The 21,138-nt window shown below is 36.0% G+C and overlaps 1 protein-coding gene across 13 annotated transcripts in view; it reads right to left on the reverse strand.

The window, feature by feature from the left end:
- SLC44A5 (solute carrier family 44 member 5) overlaps window positions 1-21,138 on the reverse strand; it is a 521,887-nt gene that overhangs the window by 2,573 nt on the left and 498,176 nt on the right. For 7 of the 13 annotated variants that reach the window (XM_017000610.2, XM_017000609.2, NM_001320283.3 and 4 more), the window contains 11 exons: window positions 17,660-17,759; window positions 15,099-15,191; window positions 14,556-14,643; window positions 13,789-14,051; window positions 13,165-13,259; window positions 11,053-11,156; window positions 9,904-9,977; window positions 9,218-9,288; window positions 9,004-9,092; window positions 6,767-6,851; window positions 1,017-2,018 (listed from right to left, as the gene is read on the reverse strand). In XM_017000610.2, the coding sequence (XP_016856099.1) occupies window positions 1,906-2,018; window positions 6,767-6,851; window positions 9,004-9,092; window positions 9,218-9,288; window positions 9,904-9,977; window positions 11,053-11,156; window positions 13,165-13,259; window positions 13,789-14,051; window positions 14,556-14,643; window positions 15,099-15,191; window positions 17,660-17,759 (1,175 nt within the window). In that variant the 3' untranslated portion in view covers window positions 1,017-1,905. Of the gene's footprint in view, window positions 1-1,016; window positions 2,019-6,766; window positions 6,852-7,232; window positions 9,093-9,217; window positions 9,289-9,903; window positions 9,978-11,052; window positions 11,157-13,164; window positions 13,260-13,788; window positions 14,052-14,555; window positions 14,644-15,098; window positions 15,192-17,659; window positions 17,760-21,138 lie in introns of those variants that run through there. The other 6 variants (XM_047449166.1, XM_017000608.2, NM_001130058.2 and 3 more) reach the window with 2 other exon arrangements.

Genomic DNA, 21,138 nt, shown 5'->3' on the forward strand with positions numbered 1-21,138 from the left:
GGTCTGGAACTCCTAGGCTCCAGTGATCTGTCCATCTTGGACTCCCAAAGTGCTGGGATTACAGGCGTGAGACACCACACATGGCCAATTTTTCAACTTTTATGTGTATCAGAATCAACTAGAGAACTTTATAATAATTCACATCGTGGCTCACATCAAATCACAGTATATCAGAATCTCTTGGGCAGAGCACAAACATCTATAGTTATAACAAATTCTCAGGTAGAGGTCACTATTCTACTAGTCCTTTGTTGTGGCCTTTGTCTTGTTGAATAATAAAAGACTAATCTAGAAAGATAAGTTGTCATTATCTGCATTATGCTTCAAGGAGAATAAGAATGCAGAAGGCTCTTTGCCAAAATGTGAAGCCAACTGACACTTTTGAATACAATAATCTCAAGAATGTAAGCCAAGAACAAGCTGGTAGTCATTATATATTAAAAATCTTCCCTATTCATTGGCTTATTGCTATTAATTAATCTGCCACAGAGTCAGTTTAAATCTAGGTGTCTACACTTGAAGATAATTAATACGTATTTAGATCAATCTATAACACAACAATACATTTCTGACTCTTTTCTTGGATATATGAGTGATATTCAGATCAACATGTTCCTTTCTGTCAATATATAAATAATCCTTATATACAAGTTTAAGGTAAAAGCCAAGAAAATACAAATTGATTCAATGCTCCTTTTGGGGTGCATTTTTACATGGTTAACCACATCATACACATTTGCACACAGGGGATGGCTAGGCAAGATGTGTGTCTGATTCATGCTTTGTTCTGCCATTCAAAACTTACACATGACTATCAGAAACCTCAGGCGGCCAGCGGTGGCAGGTGGCAACAACTTTCCTCCTAAGCCCTGCAGAGAGAGAGTTCCTAACCCACAGTATGCCCCTCATAAAGGTATTAGATGATGGAGCGCCAACAGTATATTTCCTTAGGGTAAAATCTGAAGTGTCTTTCTTTTCTCTTTCCTCACTGAAAGGTGAGACAAAATCAAACCTTCTGTAGAACAAAGCCACACAATCTCTTTAATCTAGAAATACAGGTATACTCATGAAAAGATATAATCACTCTTCTGAAACAAATTCATATTGATTTTCTATATAGTGGGAATAAGAAATTTGGGTTAAAGACAAAAGGCATGAGTTATGTAACAATTTCAGTTTTGTTCAGAATATTTTCACCATGGACAGAGGTTCATGTTGTTGGAAATGACACTCCAGAACTCAGATTCGACTTCAATATAAACATGATTTCACTAAAACAGAATGGGCTCTGAAGGTTCCATAGTATTTTTTACCCAGTAATGCTCTCCGTAGAACCTATATAACATTAACATCTATGTTTGTTATGGACATGACTCACTGAAATATACTTCCTAGGGAACCATTAATACAAGTTTAATCACAGTTTAGAGAGTTGTCCACCAGCTTGAACAGTATAAATATAACCATAGCACCATATTTACAAATTTAGTACCATATGCTGGTTAACTATAAATCAATATTTTATGGCTAATTAATTACACATTTATAGTGTTTTCAAAAATTGCCTGAATATCCTTTACAAATATACACTTATAAAAAGAAAGGCTATTAAAGTGCTGCAATGGAAACAGCACGCTGAGTTATAAAAGTTATTAAAACACTCTCGGCTACAGATTTTAAAAAACGTTTGACATTAACATTTTGATCTTTAGCTGGGACCACTGTCTATAAAGTAGACAGCAGCTAATGTCATCAAATACCTGACACCTCAGGTAGTACCAGGTGCTGACTTCTTAGAATTAAGCACAGAAATTTCACATTACTCAAAAGCAACATTTCCAAATTACAATCAACCTAATTTACACAACTTCTACTTAAAAATGAGTGACACTGTTTGGAGCTTTTCTACTCTTTCTGCTTCTGGGGAACTAGTTGCTTCTTGATCAGAATTCCATGCAGGTTAGGGGTTACGAAGTAGGGTTTTTCTGTAGATCCATCATTTCTTTCCAGATCTTCACCTGTATATGCAGCAGCCAAAGCAGGCAAAAGCAGAAGCAGCAGAACAATTATACACATTTTTATAAATTGGAGGGTCGAACAGGGAAAAATCAGAAAAATCAGTGTTAGAAAGTCAAATATAAGACAAATTAGTGCAGTTTACTTGCTGATTCTGGGCAAGGTAAGAAACCTCAACCTCTGCCAGGAAACACTGAAACTTCCTAAATCCCTCCCACTCCCAGAGAGATGTATTTTGATACTTTAAAGGCTAAGAAGATATTCTATGTCCCTTCAAAAAAGTGTCATATTTAAATTCTGTAACTGTTCATTTCAGAAAGATATAAATTGCCAAATCCTCCGGGATGGAGCTGAATAGGAAGTATATTAATTCTGTGATAAATGTAGAATAATAATGGAATTTCAGACTTTCAAGTCACTTCTAATGGTAGTCCATACTCCGATGTTACAGACGAACACCCTGAGGCCCAGGGATATAAAACAACTCGCTGAAGTCAAAAGCTCTGAGGTAAATAGGATGAGATAGGGACCCAGCTTCTTGACACCTAGTTTTGCTCTTGTTCTACTTAACTATAAGGCACCCTGTCCTAAATTCTTGCGGTCTTCCTCAGATTGTATTTGAAAGCTAATGTCAATGTATTCTGACTCTCATAATACATTAATTTACCTTTCAGCTTTGCTTAGGCTAATATTAAATTGATGGCATGTTCACTGACCACCCACCTGCTGGCTAGTTGGGAGGAAGCACCAGAATTATGCTGACAAACAAGGATACATTTGCATGAAATTAAGCCTCCCGCAGATATATACAATTCACAGCAGATAGTAGCTATAGTCTTGGGAATGGTTGGGTCATTGGTTTAGTAGATTTCTACTAGCGCTCACAGTGACCTTCCTCACATACAAAATGAAAAGCAAAAGAGGGAACATGATAGACGCTGAACATTTTGCTTTTTTTTGTCCTTAATCCTATTTCTATACAATAGTCCCCTCTTACCCAGTTTTGCTTTCTACAATTTCACTTTCTGTGGTTTTAGTTACCCAAGGTCCAGAAATATGAAATGCAAAATTCCAGAAATAAACAACTCATTAATTTTAAATTGTGTACTATTATGAGTAGCATAATGAGACCTCAAACCGTCAAGCTCTATCCCACCCTGGCAGGGAATCCTCCCTTTATCCAGCATCACCTTGCTGTCTAGGATGCTCTTCCCTTAGTCACTTAGTAGCTTTCTCAGTTATCTGTTGCAAGATCACAGTGCTTGTGTTCAGGTAACCCTTATTTTAGTTAATAATGGCCCCAAATTGCAAGATTAGTGTTGCTGGCAATTTGGATAAGCTGTAAAATGCTTCCTTTAAGTGAAAAGGTGAAAGTTCTCGAGTTAATAAGAAATAAACTTATACTGAGGTTGCTAAGATCTACATAAGAACAAATCTTCGGTTTTTTGTTTGTTTGTTTGAGGCAAAGTCTCACTCTGTCACCTAGCCTGGAGTGCAGTGGCGTGATCTCAGCTCACTGCAGCCTCTGCCTCTCAGTTTCAAGTAGTTCTGCTGTCTCAGCCTCCAGAGTAGCTGGGATTATAGGTACCTGCCACCATGCCTGGCTAATTTTTGTATTATTTGTAGAGACAGGGTTTTGCTATGTTGGTCAGGCTGGTCTCGAACTCCTGATCTCAAGTGATCTGCCGGCCTCGGCCTCCCAAAGTGTTGGGATTACAGGCGTGAGCCACCATGCCCGGCAAAACAAATTTTTTATACGTGAAATTGTGAAGAAGAAAAAAGAATTTTAAGCTAGTTTTGTTGTATCTCAAACTGCAAAAGTTATGGCCACAGTGTATGATAAGTGCTTAGTTAGGATGGAAAAGGCATTACATTTGTGGATGGAAGACATAAACGGAAACATGTTCCAATTGACAGCAATTGGGTTTGGTACTATTAGAGAATTCTGGCATGTCCAGGGGTCTTGGAATGTAACCCCCATGGATAAGGAGAGATTACTGCTGTATATAACATATCTATCTTGTTATTACTCTTAAGGTACTGGTAAGAAGTCTGGCCTGGATCACATTAATAAGCATCTACAACTATTATTTTTTTCCCACTCTGAGATGATGAATCTCAGTACCTTGTAATAATAAAAAGATTCCATGTTTCTAAAAATGAAGTGTTTACAAATGGTTTGCATTGTAAAAATCACCAGTTTTCTGGCAGCCAAGACAATAGGAATAAATAAATAAATAAATCTACACATTCAGAATTTGGCTCAGGGCATCATTTAAGAAGAATATTTTACAAAGTGTGATGTTGCCCATAGTAACAGCTAGGGGAGGAAGAGAAACACAATTTAAGTTTCCTTGTTCTTTGTTATCACAGACAAGTGTCTCTGAAAGGAAATGATTCATGTCAACATGCAATACACTGAATCAAGCTGATGTACCTGGCTTTCAAGGAGTTGGCAATTAATAAAGATGGTGGAAAACATTTCTTACTGTCAAAATTCAAAATCAACTGCCAAACTTAAAATCCACATATTAGCCAAAACTTCCAAAGACTGGAAGCTAGTAGGTTCTAGACATTTCCTGAGACAAATTTTCATAAGTATTTTCAGCTACAAGAATGGGGAAGGTCACATAGTGATTTCCAGTTATTGCTCCCATGGTTAATGTTGGAGATGAGAGGAGAGATCTTTGAGCATTCTAGAGCCCTGCGTCCACCATGTTTTAGTGCTTGACCTTACTCGTGCTCCTTCTTCCATCCCATACCTGAACTGTTTGTTCATGTGATATTTTGTAGATAGATGGCTTTCCTTAGACCACTGAAGCACTAGGAAAACATTAAACATTTCATTTCCATTTACAACCAGAGGAAGAGCTAACTAGTACATAAAGTTCTCTTGAATTCTTTGTCCGGTTATTGAGAATTGATTTTAACAGGCTCAGAAACAAACAAACAAAAAACAAGGCCAGACTTTTTTCCAGGAGGTTTTCTTTGAATATATCTCCCTATAGTTATCGTCTCTCTTGATCCCAGTGTGAAGTTGGTGCTGTGGGTTATTCTAAAATGCAAACTGTAAATTTTATACAAGTGGATTGTTCAGTAATGGCCTGTCAGAGAGTAAATGTTCTCTGTTTCTCTTAAGGGCAATGTGCTAGAGAAATAATCTCTCAGGATGTGTAGTTGTGCAGCTAACAAGTTCTGCTCTTTTACTTACTGACTCTACTTTCTGTTGGTTTGCCAAAGAAATGGCATGGAAGGTGAAAGCCAGATTAAGCTTCTGCTAGGTACTAGGTTCTCCAGGACTTTTCAAGTGAGGTACTAATATTAAAAAAATCTTTTTTTTTTTCTCAGAGCCAGGATCTTGCTCTGTTACTCAGGCTGGAATACAGTGGCACTATCATAGCTCACTGCAGCCTTGAACTCCTGGGCCCAGGTGATCCTCCCACCTCAGCCTCCTGGGTAGCTAGGACTACAGGTGTGTGCTACCGTGCCTGGCTAATTTATTTATTTATTTATTTATTTATTTTCTAGAGATAGGGTCTCACTATGTTGCCCAGGCTGGTCTCAAGCTGGGCTTCAAGCAGTTCTCCCCATCTTGGCCTCTGAAAGCACTAAGATTACAGGTATGAGCCACAGTGCCTAGCCAAAAAAAGAAAACCCTATTTTGTGTATGGGAGTTGCATATGCAACTATAGGAGCATCATGTATAAGTCAGTGATGAAAGCTCTAAAGAAGTATTTTAACTCTATGTATCAAAATTAATCCAACTATTTCCTAGAGGCACTCCTCTCCGAATCCTATCCATTTGTCATTGTGATGCACAGTGCGAATTGGCCCTATATGTCCTTGAAACCACCTTGTCATCTTGGCTTTATCAGAATTTATAAATCCTCTCCTCAAAGAATTCCACATATCTAGTTCCCAGAGTCCTGTTACGTCTTCAGTTCTGTTAACAAAGCATGGCAGAAGCCAATCATTATTATTCACTTAAAAAATCAAGAAATGAACAAAATAATTTCATGCTAACAGTATGCCATGAAGCCTGTGCTTCATTTCAGTAGTTGACTCTTCTGTGCTTTGCAAACTCCATTCTCTTAGCTGTTAAGATTTCTTTTTAAATTTTGTATTTTTCTCTAAGCCTTGTTGAGGTATAATTTTTTTATCCAACTTTATTGAGATATAATTAATAAATAACAACTGTAAATATTTAAGGTGTGTAATGTTTTGATATATGCATATATAGTAAAATGATTGCCACAGTCAAGCTAATGAACATGTCCATAACCTCCCATAGTTATCTTTGTGTGTGTGTGGTGAGAATACTAACGAGCTTAGCAAATTTCAAGTTAACAATACAGTATTATTAACTATAGTCACCATGCTGTACATGTGAGTGCCATAATTTATTCATCCTGCATAACTGAAAGTTTGTACCCTTTGACCAACATCTCTCTATTTTACTGACCCCTCAATCTCTGGTCATCACCCCTCTACTCTGTTTCTATGAGTTTGACATTTTTAGATTCCACATGTAAGTGAGATCATGAAGTATTTGTCTTTCTGCATCTGACTTATTTCTCAGGTATTATGGTTTAAATAACATCTACTAAGCAATATCTCTTTCCAGATAAACACGTTTTGTGGTTGCAGCCAGGTAACAGCAGATCCCCAAGCCAGCTAAGGACATGGGCCTTCACCATCTCACCTTTCAGTTATCCACCGAAGGGGGAAAACACACATACTGAATACTCACAGAAGCAGATGAAAATTGTTTCAACACACATTGCATAGACGCTGAAGAACCCATGTGCAATCAGGTAAGACCCAAAAATGACTGTCTGTAAATGGATGAAGAAGAGAACCAACATGTCATTTACTTTGACCAGAAGAAGAATAATGCAGCTATAAATGAAAGCCATGATGAGAAAGTTTTGAAGTACTCTGTATGGGAAAAGAGTTCAGTATAGAGACCAAAAAGTTCAATGATAATGCTTCTGCATACTTTGTACTGAGACTTAAACAAGTTTTATTAAATTAACTGCCTTTTTTTTCCCTTTTTTGGGGGGTACTATTTTCTTTCTTCCTTCCCTTCCTTTCCCCTTTCTTTTCTTTTCTTTTCTTTTTTTTCTTTTCTTTTCCCTCCCTCCCTCCTTCCCTTCCTCCCTTCCTTCCTTCCTTTCTCTCTCTCTCTTTCTCTTTCTTCCTTTCTTCTTTCTTTCTTTTTCTTAATAAAACAGAAGTTTATTTCTCCCTCGGATAACAGTTTATAAGAGGTGTTCCAGATAACAGAACAACCCTTCTCAACACAGTGATCCAGGGACTCTTGCCACATGCCCAGCTCTTTAGAAGAAAGAGAGAACAAATTTTTGTATCAAGCAAAGAGATTTTGCCAATGATATTTTGTGTCTCTTCAATCAGTTGATGCCAGTGTTTTTATTTCTGAAATATTCTTTTGAATTCTTTTTAAACTTTTATTTTTTTAACTTTTATTTTTGGTTAAGGGGTATGTGTACAGGTTTGTCATATAAGTAAATTATGTGTCATAGGGGTTTTGTGTACAGATTATTTCATCACCCAAGTAACAAGCCTAGTATCCAATAGGTAGTTTTTCGATCTTCTCCCTCCTTCTACCCTCCACCCTCAAGTAGGTCCCAGTGTCTGCTGTTTCCCCCTTTGTGTCTATGTGTACTCAATATTTACCTACAACTTATAAGTGAGAACATGCAGCATTTGGTTTTCTCTTCCTGTTTCAGTTTGCTTAGGATAACAGCCTCCAGCTCCATCCATGTTGCTGCAAAGGACATGATCTCATTCTTTCTCACGACTGTATAGTATTCCATGGTGTATTTGTACCACATTTTCTTTATCCAGTCTATAATTGATGACCTGCTCATTTTCTTCCTGCCACCCCCAGTACTTAGCAAAAATATGTCAGTTTTAGTATCTTGTACCCAAGGCAATAAAGCGTTAGGCATTAAGAGCACATACTGCCTGGGTTTGAATCACAGCTCAGGCACTCAACAAGTGAATTATCCTTTCTGTGTCTCCTAGATAAAACTGGCAGTGGGGGAGAGGCAAATGTGAGTAATGCCAGTATTTTTGAAATGTGGGTTAAATGACTTAATATATTATGATAGATACTGCAGGGCTTCACCCAGATCTACACTGCCTCATCCATCCTCAATTGTTGGAAATCTAGGCTGCTAATGACTCAGTTGCTTCCCTTACTAACAATTGCCCTTCCTGCAGGGAATTGCCTCACCCAAAGTTATACCCTCGTGCAGGGGTCAGTTCATGACCAAAAACTGCCTGATGCAGCATACAAAGGTCCAGCCTCTTTGCCAGAATGTCCTGCAATTCTGAGGCCTCAGCTGTAACTTCGGCATGGGTCAGCTTCTCCTGCTACCTATCCTGCCCTCCTCACTTTCTTACCAATGTATCTCAGGAGACAGCTTCCTGACATACCTTCCGCATGCAATCCTCTGTCTCAGGTTATTTCCAAGGAACCCAGTCTCTAAAGTAGAATGTGGGTTGGCATAAAGTAAGACCAATAATTTTTGCTATCATTACTATTTCTACTATTCCTTTTTAAAATTGTGCTATCTCTGATAAATCACAGAATCAACAATACCCAGCTGCTACAGAATGAATTGTGTACCCCCTAAATTCATTTGCCGAAGCCCTAAGCCCCAATGTGATTTGAAGGTGGCACCTTTGGGAGGTGATTAGGTCAGGAGGATCGGATTAGTGTCCTTATAAGATAAATGAAAGAGATAATCTCTCTCTCTCTCCCCACCATGTGAGGATACAGGAGGGTGTCTCTCTGCTCACCAGGAAGAGGACCCTCACCAGAAATCAAGTTGGCTGACACCTTGATCTTGGACTTCCCAGCCTTCAGAACTGTGAGGAATAAATTTCTGTTGTTTAAGTCATCCAGTCTATAGTATTTTTATTATAGCAGCCTGTACTGACTCAGACACCAGCTCTTACCAGCAAAGGTACCCAGTAGTAATTTAAAGATGCTGGTCCTTGTGCAATCACTGGCAGTCTTTGTGTGAAGAATAGGAAGGCCAGAACACCTACATTGAAAAGGTAGAACATGTATATTATACTTTTGCAAAAGAATATAGTTTTTTGTAGTAAAGCAGTTTTTCCAAGCATCTTTTAAACTTTTTTTTTTATTATTTTCATCATGATTACTTACCTATACTTCCAGCAACTAGAAGTTTCCCCAGGAATAATACAAAGTATGTAACTTCATCTGTAACTGCAACTCTGAGTATCAGAAAAAAAGAAAGTATAATTCTGTGTTTAAAATATACTTGGTACTTGAAATTTATGGCAGTAAATTTTCATGAGTTTATTTTGGTGTGTCTTTGCTGAAATTGTATTTGGCAATTGTTTTGCAAGAAATGATGGTGGAACTCATGGATGATGTTCTGACTTATTTTTAATGTAAACAGAAGATGGCATTGTAGGGCTGTCAGGAGCCCTGCAGTGGTGGTGTCAGCCTCTCTGATTTGAAGCCTATAGACACCCTGAGTCCTGAGGATGCTGTATTGTTCTCTGATTTTGTTCACTCAGGCTCCACCAATTCTGGGAGGGGGAAAGATGATAATGTGGTTCATCTGGGGGAATTTCTTGAGCAGAGGGGATAATAAAAATGAAAAAATGCCAATGGACCTAAAGACACAGGTGGGTAATGGAAGCAACAATTCTCAGATATGAAAATAAATTAATGGTATGAGAGAGAATATTTAAATCTATCAAGTTAAAAGATAATATTCATATCCAATAATGCCACCAACACTTTAAATAACAACATGTAAAGGATGTAATGCTCAAGGTTCACTACATTGTTAAATTACATTGTGCAGCCTGATTACTTACTTCAAAACATTTCTCATCAGCAGATTGAAAGCATCTTTTGCTGACCTGCAGAAGTTTCTGCCATATATTGCAATCTGAGGAAGACAGTGGCTATTATTCTGGAGCCAGTAACATACTCTAACAAGATCAAAAGACAATCCAATGACAGGAAGGTAACCAAATTAATTCCTGTCATTTGTAGAGCTATCTCCACTCTTTTTTCTAATGTGTATTTGTGGGACACACTGTGTGTCCTCAGCTCTACACAACTCTCAGTGTCATTGACAGTCAGGTGTGCTTCCGATACTGTATGCCCTCAAACTCTGGGGGATTAGACAGCCTTAAACAGAGGCAGCTCTTTTTCCCAAATTCCAGATAATGGCTTCTGTCTTTAAAATGTTTGGGCTAGAGTTTATTGCTAAAAAGGTTAAATATTGTAGTCTCTACATAAAAAATTACTCTTAAGGAAACCCAATACCTTTCACTAAATTTGATTTATTGATGAATAGGTTTAACATAATACTCTCATTGGAGGTAAATTAATGACTGTTTGAATCTCCATAACTATTTCAATCACTTTTCCAGACCCTGTGCTACTGTGATAACAAGCAAATGTCATAAGGTTATACTGTAGCTTTCTAAAGGTTAGAAGAATTATATTTCTGGATCCCTTATGTTAAAAAAAAATATTTAGGAATTTCCATATAGCCATAGGAAACAAGTAAAACTCAGTCAAACATTGTCAATGTCCACACATTTCAACACAAGATTCATAAAAAGGATAAGACCCTTCTTTAAAATTATGTAAATTCCAGAATTAGAAAGTATTTTCTTCTCAGAGTAAAACATAGATTAAATACTCTTTCTTCCCACTAAACTATGCCAAAGACACACAAAACCATTTTTTATCCAACACACTTATAAGTTTCCAAAGTGTGTAATATTTTTTTCTCTCAAAAAAGATATTGAAGGTAATAATAAAGTATAGTTCAGATACTATCTCAACTAGGGAAGCATATCCCTGAATCATGCATTGGATTCACAGGCCTTATATCAGCATAGTGATAAATTCAACTGCATGAAGTAAAAGTACTTTAGAGAGGGCAATGTAGACACAAGGTTTGGGATTGCAAAGAAGCAGCTTAGTAAATAATAAAATAATCTACCTACCATAATATAGGCATTTCTGTTTAAAAACTTTATTGCATTTTCCAAACACCAGAAGCAGCATCTCAGGCAGCATTGTAGGAATTTAGACAATGTGTTCTGGGTACCTATGAGAAGGAGATATTTAAATCTATTAATGATTTGCAGCTGAACCTTATCAGTCAAAATAAATATAATACAACATTTAAAATGAGATTTAAAATTTTTTATTGTTATAAAATATACATAATATAAAATTTGCCATTTTAACCATTTTTAAGTGTACAGTTCAGTGGCACTGAGTAATTTATAATGTTGTACAACCATCACTGCTGTTTCCAGAACTTTAAAATCTCAAACACAAATTCTATGCCCTTCAACAGTAACTGCTCATTCCCCTATTCCCCCAGCTCTTAGTAAACTCCATTATATTTTTTGTCTGTATAAATTTGCTTCTCCTAGGTGCTTCAAATAGGAGGAATCATACAATATTTACCCTTTTGTATCTTGCTTATTTCACTTAGCATGATGTCGTCAAGGGTCATCATTTCATTCCTTTTTAAGGTTGAATAATATTTGATTGTGTGTACATAACACATTTTGTTTATTCATTTGTTAATTGGAATTTGGGTTGTTTATACCTTCTGGCTATTCTGAATAATGCTGTTATGAACAGTGATGTGCAAGTATCTGTTTGAGTTCCTTCTTTCAATTCTTTTCATGTATATCTAGATATAGGATTTCTGGGTCATATAAAATTATATTTAAAAATTTTTTAGAAGCTGCCATACTGTTTTCTACAGTGACTACATCATTTGACATTCCCTCCAGCAATACACAGGGTTCCAATTTCTCCACATTCTTACCAACACTTGTTATTTTCTGCTTTTTTCTTTGTTTTTATATATATATAATAGCCATTCTAATGTGTATGGAGTCTCATTGTGGTTTTGACTTGCATTTCCCTAATGACTAGTGATATTAAGCATCTTTTCATGTCCTCATTGGCCATTTGTATATCATTTTTGGAGAAATATCTATTCAAGTTCTTTGTCCATTTTTGAACTGGGTTGCTTATTATTTTGCTGTTGAGTTGTAGAAGTTCTTTTATGTTCTGGATATGAATTCCTTATCTGGCATATGATTTGGAAATATTTTCTTCCATCATGTGGGCTGTCTTTTCACTCTCTTGGTAGTGTTCTTTGTTGAATAAATGTTTTTAAATTTGATGAAGTTCAATTTATTTTTCTTTTGTTGCCTATGCTTTGGGTGTACTATCTAAGAAATAATCACCAAATCCAATGTCATGAAGCTTTCATCTTATGTTTTCTTCTAAGAGTTTTATAGTTTTTGTGCTTTTGTTTAGGTCTTTGATCCATTTTTAGTTAATTTTTGTATGTTAATGTAAGATAAGGTTGAACTTCATTCTTTTGCATGTGGATATCCCATTTTCCCAGCACCATTAGTTGAAAAGACTGATCTTTTCCCATTGAATGGTCTTATATGTGAGAGTTAGTTTCTGGGATTTCTGTTTTATTTTACCTCTATATGTCTGTCCTTATGCTAGTACCACACTCTTTTGATTGCTGTAGATTTATGATAAGTTTTGAAATCAGGAAGTATGAGTCTTCCAGCTTTTTTGTTCCTTTTCAAGTCTTTTTCCAATATTAGTAATAAAATATTTTAAGGTACATTCCAAGCAAAGTTTATGTGTTTGTAAACAATATATATCAGGTATGAAGATTTATGCCCGTGACACCCACATTTATATTTTAAGCCTAACCTGACCTGAACTATATACTTGGAACTGCCAACCTGACATCTCCATCATGCTTCTCAACAATAACATCTCAAAACAGAATTCTTAATCTCCTTTTTGAAATTTGTTTCTTCTGGCTTCCACAGCTTAACAAATAGGATCACACACCTTTTCTCTCTTTTATTCACCACTGTCCCTCCCCTCCCCTGACATCAACTCCTTCAGCAAGCTCTCTCTGGTTTTCCTTCAGAACAGAACGGGTCCCAAATATGCCCTTTCATCCTTACTACCCTAGTCCAAGTTATAATCATCAGGTCTCCCCCAACCCCCAACCCAATTTATTATCTTCACAAAAGTCAGGACATCTGAAATCTTACGTTTAAGACGGTGGTCCAAGTATTCTAGTACAATTTTAAACATTTGAATTAATGCAATAATTAAAGATCCAAATGCTAGGGATCCTGTGTGATATCTGCACAAAAATAAAATGAGAATAAGTTAAAACTTAATACTATTATTTAAGGGGATGCTAATTGAATAATTTTCACAAGTAAAAGGTATCTGCAGAAGGATTAACAGCAAAGAGACTTTTGCACTCTCTTATTTAGATTGATAAAAGTCTCTATAGAGGATTTTAAACCATATACATCTGTCTTACCCTTTATCAGCATAAATGACACCAATAGTCTATCATCATAAAATAGGATGTTTTTACTGCTCAATGGAGACACAGAGCCAAGTTAATCCTTGATCTTTCATTTGGTATCCTCCTCTATCTTTTTCTCTCTCTAGTAACCTATAGCATTTAGAAGGAAATTGGCTTGGGTAGGGATTGTAAAACTGGCTATGAAACCAGACAAAACCAATGGGCATCCATGAATTTTGATTCATACCTTTGATTTCATTTGTACCTTGCCACTTGAATTAATGAGCCAAGACTGAATTACAAGCACACTAAATGTAACTGACAAGATAGGTGTAGGCTTCAACTTGAAACTTACCGTATGGCTCGTCCAAATGCAGTAAAAAGTGGATATCGTGGGATGTCATCAGGTTTTTTCATGGCCCAGTAATAAGTAGCGAATGCACCAGCAAGGGCGCACTGACCTAATGCAATGACGAAGTTTATAAGCCAGAGAAAGACAAATAAGTTGTATACATGGAAGGTAGGGATGTACTGATGGTACAAGCTCTTTCCACCATAGAAAGCAAAGTTACACAGAGCCCCAGGGCAAGCTTTGGCAATTTCAGTTGTATTAAAAATCTGCATTGAGAAAAAGGAACACAAGGACATAATATTAAATATCACTCCAAGATAACAACTCCCTGTGTTTTCCTCTTCCCCTTAATTGCATATCCTGTTGTTTCTCTGTTAGCTCCTGCTCTTACTCCTCTATTTTCTGTTATATCACTTTATATAATTATCTAATGAGTGCTGGAAAGTATCCCATTTTTCATCAAATGCTCATAATCTGCACCCACTATAATTTCACATTTATCAGTGTTGTTGTTGACCATACCTACTTTCTATGGTCTTGGGTATATGGTAGGGCAGGCAAGCTCAGGAAATACAGTGCTTTCTCTCCATTCCACCCACTGTTTTCCATACTCTCCTGCTTACCTGATGCACACTCCCCACTTCAGCACATAGTTGTCCCCATCAGTGTATAGGATCTCTGCTTCGGGACAATTCCTACCACAACTACAAAATGAATTGCAGCAGAAGTCTATATTGAAGTAAGTAAATGAAAGAGTTTCTTGTACTTACCTCTGGGTCACAGGTTTGATTTTCATGTATACAATGCCCCCCTGGAGCTATGACTTTGTATACAGGTACCCCCGATGTCGCCAAGAAACTGAATAAACTCCATTAAGGATAAACCATTTGCTGGTAGATTGAAAATAAATGGACAAGAAAACAATACTGACAACTCAAAAGTGCATGAGAAATTAACTTAAAAAATGCCTAATATTTTAATAATATTCATCTATTTTTCAGGCCTAGATTAATGTAATGTGGGCCAGCTGCACTGAGTGGCCCCTTAAAAACAGTAAAATGTATAGGAGCTTTCTTGGCTTATTGCTAAGGAGCAGTATCATGTGGAGACAAAATAAAACAAATCTACAATATGAACTATTTGAGGGGAAATTCAATCGGTAGATTGAAACGTTTTTAGAGCTTGGGAAAAAAATAGTTATTTCTTAGTACATTCCTCATCTTCCCAGGGATAGAAAACACTGAACACAAACTCCTGGTTCACGAGTAGTCATGTGAACCTGAGGTTTAAAGAGGCCAATTACCAAAGGATACACTGCTGTCACGACCCAGTAGCAAATGCAGATTGAGAGCAAAATGAAAGTTAAAGCTGGATAGACTAATGTACTAGGAACATATCCAATGGCTCTGAAATAAAACAAATAGTTGAAATTCAATTGTTAAAACTAGAAATAAGCTTTAGACTGAATTGATTCTAAGAAAACTGGTAATAACCACGGACTCTTTTTTGGTGATCATTCTGGCATATTCTCAGTTGGTTTTACATTTTTATTTATTTATTTACTTTTTTTAAAAGTACGTTGAGGCATTTTTCCGATGCACATGTTAGACTCCTGCCTAAAGTCCCTCAAATTTTCCTCCCTTTGGTTACTACTGTCTGATTTGATACATTGTAATCATGGCATTTCTTCCTTTCGTTTAGATTCTTAGACTTTTAAAATTGAAGAAGACCTTGAAGATCATGTGTCACACTGAGGGAATTCCCCACTAATTCAAGAATCCCCTATACTTCTTCAGAATGTGTTCACTACCCTTCGGTGAACACATTGAGTGATGGGTACTTACTTTTACATGACATGGCTTATTCTATTTTCTTATCAAGGTATTAGAAATTTCTTCATTATCTGCCTGTTTGCAACCTATATCCTCTAACTTCTGGGGAAGAAATGACCATTTTACCATTTTTTCCACATAGCAACACTTCAGGTAATTCCTTATTCTTTTTTCTTTGGAAAATATAATGTCTATTTGCAGTTAAATGTATTTTTAAATTATAAATTTAAATTATATTTGAAAATATAATTTCTAAAATGCAATTTTGGAAAATATAATTATCAAGGATAATAATTTCTTTGATATTTTCTAATAGGACATGGCTTGTGAAATGTTCACTAACTGACTGCATCACTTCTAATGACTTCTGTTACATGATCTTTTCAGCATATGACACTGGATTAAACACAATACTGTTTCATATGGCCATTGAGAAATAAGATGAAAATCTTATCACTCCTAATGCATTGATGCTTAGATTTTTTTGTATTTGCTACCTTCCTCACCTCACTATTTAATCTATAGTGTTTTCTCTTTTCTCCATACACTGCTAAGTGAATTATTGTGTGTCCTTAGGTTTACCCTGTATTCTCACACCTATTTATTTCAGTCCTTATTACCCCCTGAGCAAACTACCAACATGTTTCAGTTTTACTGGCCCTTTAACACAAACACATATGCTCACACAAATGCACATTTAGAAGTGAAACAAGTAGAGCAAGTTACAGTGAACTGCACAATATCATACTACTTAAGAAATAAACCCAGAAAATCAGTAGTTTTCAGTGGCTAATGATAGGTTATTGTGGGAAGGAGAGAGAGTTTAACTAACTGCTTGTTAACTATTTAAACCACTGACTTCAGGTGGCACTATTATAATAAAAATAATAATACTGTAATTTTCTTCAAATAATCCTTAAAGACTGTTAAAAATAATTTGGTTCTTGGTCATTAACAATGTAGTTTCCATCACACTAAATAGAGAGCATGGGCTGTTGGCTTTATAATAATGCTTTCCCGGTTACTTCCATGCGTTATTAAAAAGTTCACAGTATTATTCTTGAATGACCTTTTGGAATAGTGTGGAAACTATAGGTGTTATTATCTCTTGGCATGAATTTTATGAAAGATTTAGTGTTTATTTTGTAACTTTTAAAAAATAAAAATGACTCTTGGTATAAAGTGTTCCTAAATTATGGGCTTTAGATATGAAATGTATAGTCTGGTGCTCCTAGAATCAATTGTCCTGTCTATTAGAAAATTATGTCACTCAGACAGAAGTGGCAATAGCATATAATTGACTTTATAGAATTATGGTGATTTAAAGTTTTGCAAATGATCTCAACCATTAATATGAACATATGACCCAGTATGAAAATAATATTACATGTAATCTAGCTAACTTTTATATAGCACTTTATCACTTACTTTCACATGTGTCATTCTCCTAACACATATTTGGTGTTCAAAAACTGCTAATACGTAGACTAAATAGGTTTTACCCTTATTCTACCCAATGATTATTGAGGTTTGGGGATATTAAAGGACTTGTTAGTGGTGATCTTTCTAATAAGTGACAGAGTGTGAACTTGAACAAGTTTTCCTGAATGGAAGATGCTTTCTTTTAAAAGTCTTCTTCTTCTTTTTTTTTTTTTTTTGAGACAGAGTTTTGCTCTTGTTGCCCAGGCTGGAGTGCAATGTCACGATCTCAGCTCACCGCAACCTCTGCCTTCCGGTTCAAGTGATTCTCCTGCCTCAGCCTCCCAAGTAGCTGGTTACAGGCATGCGCCACCACGCCCGGCTAATTTTGTATCTTTAGTAGAGACGGGGTTTCTCCATGTTGGTCAGGCTGGTCTCGAACTCCCGACCTCAGGTGACCAGCCTGCCTCGGCCTCCCAAAGTGCTGGGATTACAGGTGTGAACCACCGCGCCCAGCAAAAAGTGTTCTTAAAAGGAAAATAGGTGAGATATTTATGCAAGGGACAGTGACTGATTTTACTGACTGATACACTTTAGCTGAGTTTCTACATTAAGGGCCTTACTTGCTTCCTTCCTTCAGCAGGATAATGGCGACTCGGATTCGATTCCTGAGGAAGATCAGCATGAGGATGACAATCACTTCAATGATGCAGAGTATTATCACTTTGAACAGGAAAAAAAAAATCAGTCTGTAATACAAGTAGATACGGAAACAAACCTTCCCTGCAAATGCTAGGATTGAACTTTATGATTATTTCTGCCAATTCTGACACCTCATAATCTAAGAAGTGTTATCTCTCCAAAAATGCCAATCTTCGAAATTAACTTTCACAAAATCCTAAGAAATCTAGATTAAAGCCTTTAGCAAGGGCTTGAACATCTCTTTTGGAAAGGGTTCATCTCATCCATAAAAGCATTTCACACAACTTGTAGAACTTAGAAAATAGGAATGGAAAAAGGGAAGGGCTGCTTTAGGTAGTTCTATTTTAGATGTTTTCACCTTTAGTTCATTAAGTAAGACAATATACAGAAGACACGTTTTGAGCTGTTCACTTTCCTCATAATGCCACTTAACTGTCCTTGCTGGCTGGCAGGGCAGGTTCTTGGCTGTCCCATTATTAATTTGTGACTCTTCGCACTATGGGCACCATTGATGGAATCGGGGTGTAAACTTAACCCAACTTGGCCAATATAAGTATTAGAATTTAAACTGAGGGAACCTAGTTTAGTCAACTTGATTTATTTAGTCTTGAATTGAAATTTATAAATCTTGAATTGAAGGTTATACAAACTGCGTCAAAACCATCTTTATGTGAAATAAGTGAATCTGCAGAGAAAGAATAAAGTATAGTTGTATAAAGAAAGACAGCAAGGAGAGGAAATCTTGGGTTCTTTTTGGCTTTCATTTCCTGACTCCAAGTAAACTTTGAAGTCCAGCTACCTTTCTGCTTTTTTGAGTTTGACGAGGCACTTCTATATCCTTACAGTAAATACCATCTGCTCTGTTCTCAGCCTGTTCCCGTTTTCTTTTCTCTTCAGCTAGCTTGAACTAGTTTTTTTTAAACTTGAAGCCAAATATCATCAATTATTATATTTCCTCATTTCTAAGACATATCCTTAATTAAATAATAACTTTTTAGGAAAAGTGAAGAAACACTTCATTAAATGTTTAATAATTTTAAGATGCATCCTGATTTCAGAAGTGTTAAAAAGTAAAAGGTATGGATCTTAAAATCCAGAAACAGAATCTAAAATTGTTCAAGGAACTTAATGGAAACTTAAATTCCCACTTGTGAAAGAATCCAGTCTATAACCTCCTTGCTAGATGGTTATTTAGCTCATGCTTGAACAGTTCTGTTGATGGAGAGCTCATTATTTCATTCTATTATTATATCACTGAAATTCTGACACATCACACATCAGTTACTGTCTCCGAGTAAGCAGAAGTTCACCCAGAGGTATACGAAGATCTTAGTAATGTATCATCTCACTTCTACATCTTCCTTTAGTTATACTATGTATTTATGTTTTCATGTACATTTTATTCTCTTAAAACACCAATTTGAACCCAAAATTGTGGCATGTAACCATATTATGCTAAAATTGTTATCTTCTTTGAATGAACCTATAAAGATAATACATGTAAGAGTCACTTTATGACATTGCACCGTTAAAAAACCCTCTATATCTAACTTCTGCCTTTATAAAATTGCACCCTCAAAATAATTACATTAGAGAAATATAACTGTCTTTTGAACTTACATACAGTCATGCACTGCCTGACAATGTTTTGGTTAACAATGGACTTCATATAAAATGCCAGTCCTGTAAGATTATAATGGAGCTGAAAAATTCCTATTGCCCAGTGGCATGGTAGTGCAATGCATTACTCATGTGTTTGGAGGGATGTTGGTGTAAACAAACCAATTGTGCTGACAGTCATATAAAAGTACAGCACATACAAGTAGGTATAGCATATAATGCTTGATGCTAATAATGAATGAGTTTGTTATTGTTTTATGTATTTACTACACAATAATTTTTGTTATTTCAGAGTGTACTCCCACTACTTACTATAAAAAAAGTTATCTGTAAAATAGCTTCAGGTGGGTCTTTCAGGAATATTCCAGAAGAAGGCATAATTATAATAGGAGATGACAGCTCCATGTTTTTTATTGTCCCTGAAGACCTTCCAGTGGGACAAGATGTGGAGGTGGAAGAAAGTGATATTGATGATCCTGACCCTGTGTAGGTCTAGGATAATGTATGTATTTGTGTCTTTAAATTTTAAATTTTTTGTTTCTAATTTTTTAGATAAAATAGAGATAGGGTCTCATTCTGTTGCCCAGGCTGGTCTTGAACTCCTGGGCTCAAATGATCCTCCCACCTTGGCCTCCCAAAGTGCTAGGATTATAGGCATGAGCCACCACACCTGGCCTGTGCCTCCATTTTTAACAAAACATATTGGAAGTAAAAAAAAAAAAAACTTTAAAAATAGAAAAAGCTTTTAGAATTAGAATGTAAAGAAAGAAGATGTTTTTGTACAGCTGTTTGTATACGTGTGATTATAAAAGAGTCAAAAATTAAAGCTAAATGTTATTATAAAAGTCAAAAAGTTAAAAAAATTAAAAATTTATAAAGTAAAAGTTATAGTAAGCTTAGGTTAATTATTGAAGGAAGTTTTTAATAAATTTATTGTAGCCTACATGTACAGTGCTTATAAAGTCTACAGTAGTGTACAGTAATTCTTTTCACATTCACTCACCACTCACTTACTGACACCCAGAACAACTTCCAGTCCTGCAAGCTCCATTCATGGTAAACACTCTCCACACGGGTACCATTTTAAAAAATCTTTTATGCCATATCTTTACTGTATCTTTCTTATGTTTAGATATACAAACTCCTGCCATTGTATTACAATTTCCTACAGTATTCAGCAGAGTAACATGCTGTATGGGTTTGTAGACTAGGAGCAATAGGCCATTACGTGTAGCCTAAGAGTGTAGTAGGCTATACCATCTAGGTTTGCATAAGGATACTCTATGATGTTTACACAATGAAAAAATTGCCTAACAATGCATTTCTCAGAACGTATTTCTCTCATTAAGCAACACATGACTATCCTATATCCCCTCTTTTGTTTGAATAAGAGTAAATAATATAAATATATTCGATGCCCTATAGAGTCATTAGTATAACTGTAACTTAACAAAGGATGAGACTGGCACCTGGGGGCTAAGAGATATACACGAATTCATAGTTAGTTAATAGCAGAGATGTGAATAGAACCATCTCCGAACACAAAATAGAACTCATAAAATTACAATTTTGGTATTTATAACTCTGCCTACTTTCAGTGTTTGTGTTAATGAGTGTAATTTCACATATATGCTTTTGTTTTTGGTACCTAGAATTCTGTCCAAACACAGAGCAAGTAATCAATTAAAATCTGAAAAGTGAGTTATGAAAGCGGAGGCTTATTTATCAGTATTCCTAGACTTGAAAATTCTATTAAGCTCTGTATTTTCCTAAAGGTACA

This window comes from Homo sapiens, chromosome 1 (assembly GCF_000001405.40).
Source record: "Homo sapiens chromosome 1, GRCh38.p14 Primary Assembly".
NCBI lineage: Eukaryota > Metazoa > Chordata > Mammalia > Primates > Hominidae > Homo > Homo sapiens.